This window comes from Homo sapiens, chromosome 10 (genome assembly GCF_000001405.40).
Source record: "Homo sapiens chromosome 10, GRCh38.p14 Primary Assembly".
Classification (NCBI taxonomy): Eukaryota; Metazoa; Chordata; class Mammalia; order Primates; family Hominidae; genus Homo; species Homo sapiens.
Window position 1 is genome coordinate 45,260,417 of NC_000010.11, and position 5,331 is coordinate 45,265,747.

Here is a 5,331-nt window from a genome sequence, read left to right on the forward strand (position 1 = left end):
GAGGGGCGCCTCTGCCCGGCCGCCCCTACTGGGAAGTGAGGAGCCCCTCTGCCCGGCCACCACCCCGTCTGGGAGGTGTACCCAACAGCTCATTGAGAACGGGCCATGATGACAATGGCGGTTTTGTGGAATAGAAAAGGGGGAAAGGTGGGGGAAAGATTGAGAAATCAGATGGTTGCTGTGTCTGTGTAGAAAGAAGTAGACATGGGAGACTTTTCATTTTGTTCTGTACTAAGAAAAATTCTTCTGCCTTGGGATCCTGTTGATCTATGACCTTATCCCCAGCCCTGTGCTCTCTGAAACATGTGCTGTGTCCACTCAGGGTTAAATGGATTAAGGGCGGCGCAAGATGTGCTTTGTTAAACAGATGCTTGAAGGCAGCATGCTCGTTAACAGTCATCACCACTCCCTAATCTCAAGTACCCAGGGACACACACACTCTGCCTAGGAAAACCAGAGACCTTTGTTCACTTGTTTATCTGCTGACCTTCCCTCCACTATTGTCCTATGACCCTGCCAAATCCCCCTCTGTGAGAAACACCCAAGAATGATCAATAAAAAAAAAAAAAGAATAAGGGCTAATTTATCTAATAATTCAACCTGAAAGCTCCTATATTACCTTTATTTTGAGATGAAAGTATCTTCCTGAATCTTTTTACTAGTTTTAAATAAATAGGATTCAACAAATTTTAGTGAAGAACCTCATATACATGAGTCTGTTTGATGCATGTGGAATTTCAAAGCTGAAATGATGTAGTTTTAAGTATTTACTTGTGGTAAGTGCAAAGGGATGAAGAACAAACTTCATAAGTATTAAGAGTATCAAGTTAGTTCAAGGGTAGATATAACATGGTCATTGTATAAAGTTTTGAAGGAAACATATATACACAGCTGTCAGGATATCAATATAATTACTTAAGATGACTCAGTGCAATTGCTTTCAATGTTGAATATTCTGTATATAAATCTTTACACTTTTTGTTCCCACTATGATAAAAACATATAACTGTCTCTAGATGAAGTTGCAAGTCCTTGTTGGTTTCAATGGTTTGCAAGATTGATTTCAGTGCCGACAAACCTGAAAATGAAGCAGCACAGGGGGAGAAACATTACAATTTTTGGAACAAGGAATTAAATAGTTAATATTTGTTTCCCTACTACAGAAAGTTTAAAGGAATTGGGAGAAATATAATCAGAGATGGGAAGAAGTCTGTGACTGTGAAATCTCTGCAAATGAATGTATAAACAAGTCTCTTCATTTGTGGAATGAGAGGTTTGGTTGTGTCACCTCGGGATGTTCATTTTAGTACTAATGTGAAGTGGCGCTATTGATACTGAATGTGACACAGAAACATGCTGTAACAGAAATATAATTTGAGAATGGCAGAGAGAAGATGATGAGATGTTTTAATGGAAGAACTTATGCTACAACTGAAATTTAGTTATTCAAGATTTTGATAGGAAATGAATTAGAGACAAAACCCTGGAGCTAGGATTTGTTTTGCGTACTTGGTTAATGGCAATGATCATGTTTTGTTTTGACCACATATTTCTGTGATTGTGGTGGAACAGGAATCAAAAGAAATTAAAGAATGTGTAAGCAGAAACTCAGTTGTATGTAAGAAAGCCCAATTCCCCCTGAGAAAGAGAAAGAGCTGGAGTCCTTTAAAAATTAACTGCCTGTTTTACTGTGGCTAGTAAGCCTTATCTCTCCTCCTTTCCCAGGCATTGTGAAGACCCTGTTTCTCTAGCTGTACAGCTGCAAGGTCACTAGACAGATAAGCCATAAAACATGTTTTTCCTTGGAAAGTAAGAAATGTTGTAATGCATGTCTCAATTAATTAAATAACTCTCTTTGTTTCTTGCTTCCGTAATATATTTCCCCTGCACAGGTCTCCCCCCACCTCACGAAATGCTTAAAAGGTAACTTAACTGTTTGTTCAGGGCTCAGTCCCTTGGATGTTAATCTGACTGGGCCGGCGCACCTAAATAATAAATATCCTCCTCAATCCCATCGGTCTCTCTGATTCCTTATCAATCCCACTAGAGGGGGGATAATAAAAGATTACGATGGGAAAGTTTGAGGGACATAATTATGTAAGAATTAGAAAAACACACTTCATTGAACTAGCAGAACCCAAATTTTTGTTCACCCTATGTGTATATAAGGATTTTCATACAACTTTGTGTAGACTTGTTTCTTTTTCTCACATTTGCAGTGTTCAAACTGCTAAAGGGACTGACAAAGCAATACCAATGAACTGAGTGGTCATTGCATTTTTTTTGCCTTTAAAATTTTTAAACATTACTAGTCTGACATAGTGAATCATATTTATCTACTTTGAAATAAATGGAAAATATATACAATGTTTTCATTTACTTTCATCTATACATATAAAGTTACATAGCTTAAAAATAATTGCATTGTTTGTGATTAACACAATTTGTTTACAATTTAGTATACTAAAGATATTCCACAATTTTTAATACACTTATTTGTTGATACACATTTGAGCTATTTCTGCCTTTTGGCTATTGTGAATAGTACTGTTATGAACATGTGTGTACATTTACTTGTTTGAGTACTTGTTTTCAAGTCTTTAGGGGTATATACCTCGGAGATAAATTGTGAGGGTAGGGGAACAGGCAGCAATAGCTTAATGGGTATGGGGTTTCCTTTGGAGATGATATTATAAAAATGTTTTGGAACTAGATAGAGGTGGTGGTTGTATAACATTTTGAACGTACTGCATGCCGCTGAATTGTTCACTTTTAAATGATTAATTTTATATGTACATTTACCTTAATAAAAAATTCCATAGTTCTGAAAGTTTTACATATTGTTGAAAGTTTTATAATGAAAAATAATAGTCCCTCTTTACCAACATGGCAGAGTAACAGGTATCACCCTACAGCCCTCACCTCCCCCAAAAAAACAAATATAGACTTGTATCCACAAATCAAAATGGCCCTGAGAGGACTCAGGGGCCCATTTAATAATCTACAGCAATACCATGGAGTGAAAAGAGAATATTCACGCAGAAAGGACCACTGGTGAGACTGGCATACCTGAGATACCAGGAGATGGCTAGGAACAAAGAAGAAAGGTGAGATCTATTGGTATCAGCTATGTGGTGGGAACCACCATGGCTCCCAGTGGCCTGCTCTGCAGAGGACACTGACATTCCTGCCAGGAACCCCTAGATTGGAAGATGGGGCTGTACATACCTGTCTCCCCAAAAGCAGCTGCTGTTATGCCACTCTGGGACCAGAGCTGCCATCTCAACCAACTCTGTGTATGGCCCTGACTTCTGAGCCTCAGCTGCTCCATGAGTGCCCACACTTCAGACCCCAGCTCTGTGGCTGAACCGTACCTGACTATGCCTCAGACACTGGTTCACATCCTGAACCCTGGAGCCAAGGTCTCTCTGCATGTGCCCACAGTTTAGATACCAGCTCAGCTGCCATTGTGAGCTAGCTTATGCTCTGAATCTGTTTCTGAAGCAAGGCTGCCTAGACTCATGCTTCATACACAAGAGCCACCACTATGGTGAGCTAGCTTGTACCCTGGTCCTTGGGACCAAGATCTCTCTGTTTGTGCCTGTGCTTAGGGCACCAGCTCAGCTGCCATAGAGAACTAGGATTAACCTGACTCCAGAGGCACTGTAGCTCTGTGCATGTCCATGTTCTCATCCCCAGAGCCCTGGCTGCTCTACAAGCATCTGACATGGCATACCATTACCAATTTGTCCATGGTGGTTTCTGTGCCCTGGGCACTGGTACCATTACCACCTCATACCCCAGATGTGTATTTCCTCCACATATGTTCATGCTATAGGATTAGGCTTTGTGGTTGCTCCACAGGTACCACTAATCAGACACCAGTGCCACTGCTACTGCAAGTAGGCATGCAAACCAGATTCAATGTCAACAGGATCCCCTAAGCCCCAACTTTCCCAGTGGGAGAAAAAGAGACTCAGAGGACCTTAACAGTCATTACCACTGGAGAACCTTTTAGCCCTCACTGCCACTGAAGACATCCACAGTGTTGGTTGCTTTGGATCCTTGCAATCTTTGTCAACACCAAACTCATTTGACAGAGCTGCATGGGGACTACATTGCCGCACCATCATCAATGCTAGAACTGCTGTGCCCCACCCAGAGAGTGCCCTTGAACCCCATGTCTCTGCATAGTAAAGATCTTTCTTCACTGAAACTAGCCTATAAGGTCTGGAAAGGGTTACAGACATCAAAGTAAGGCAACAAGAAACATGGGAAACTAAGGAGAAATATTACCACCAAAAGAACACAATAATTTCCTACTAGCTGACACCAAAGAAATGGAAATCTACATACTGCCTGACAAAAAATTCAAAGTACTTGTTTTAATGATGCTCAGTTAACTTCAAAAAATACAGAGAAACAATTCAATTAGATAAGGAAAACATTAAATAACTCAAATAATAAATTTAACAGAGATATTGAAATAATAATAAAACAAAGAAATTCTGGACCAGAAGAATGAAATGAATGAAATGGAGAATGCAACACAGAGAGAACATCAACAGCATAATTAATGAAGCAAAAGAAAGAATCTTTGAATGCAAAGATAGGTTATTTGAAAACATTCAGTTAGAGGAAAAAAAGATAAAAAATTGGTAAAAAAAAAAAAATAAACAAGATTTATGGGACAGTATCAAAGGACCTAATATTCAAATTATACTAGGTAGAGAAGAAAAAGAGAAAGCAATAGGGATAGAGAGCTTATTTAAAGAAATAATAGCTGAAAATTCCCAAAATATGAGGAAAGATATAAATATCCAGGCACAGGAAAGTCAAAAGACTCCAATCAGATTCAACCCAAACAAGACTATGTCAAAATATATTGTAATCAAACCATCAAAAATTTAAGACAAAGAAAGAATTCTGAAAGTAGCAAGAGAAAAGAAGTATATTATATATGAAGGAATCCCAATAAGAATAGTAGCAATTTTCTCAATGGAAGCCTTACAGACAAGGAGGGAGTGGAATGCTCTATACTAACTGTTAAAGGAAAAAAAACTCAACCAAGAATACTTTACCTGGTAAAGCTGTCCTTCAGAAATGAAGGGGAGAAAAAGCTGAGGTGTTTCCTTATAGGAAATGTTAAAGGGACTTCTTTGAGTAGAAAGTAAAAGGACACTAATTAGTAACATAAAAAAATATGAACATGAAAAACTTGGGGGTAAAAGTAAAAACACAGTCAAATTCAGAACGCTGTAATACTGTGATGGTGGTATATATCACATATGTTTACTATGAAGGTGAAAAGACAAAACTATTCAAATAATG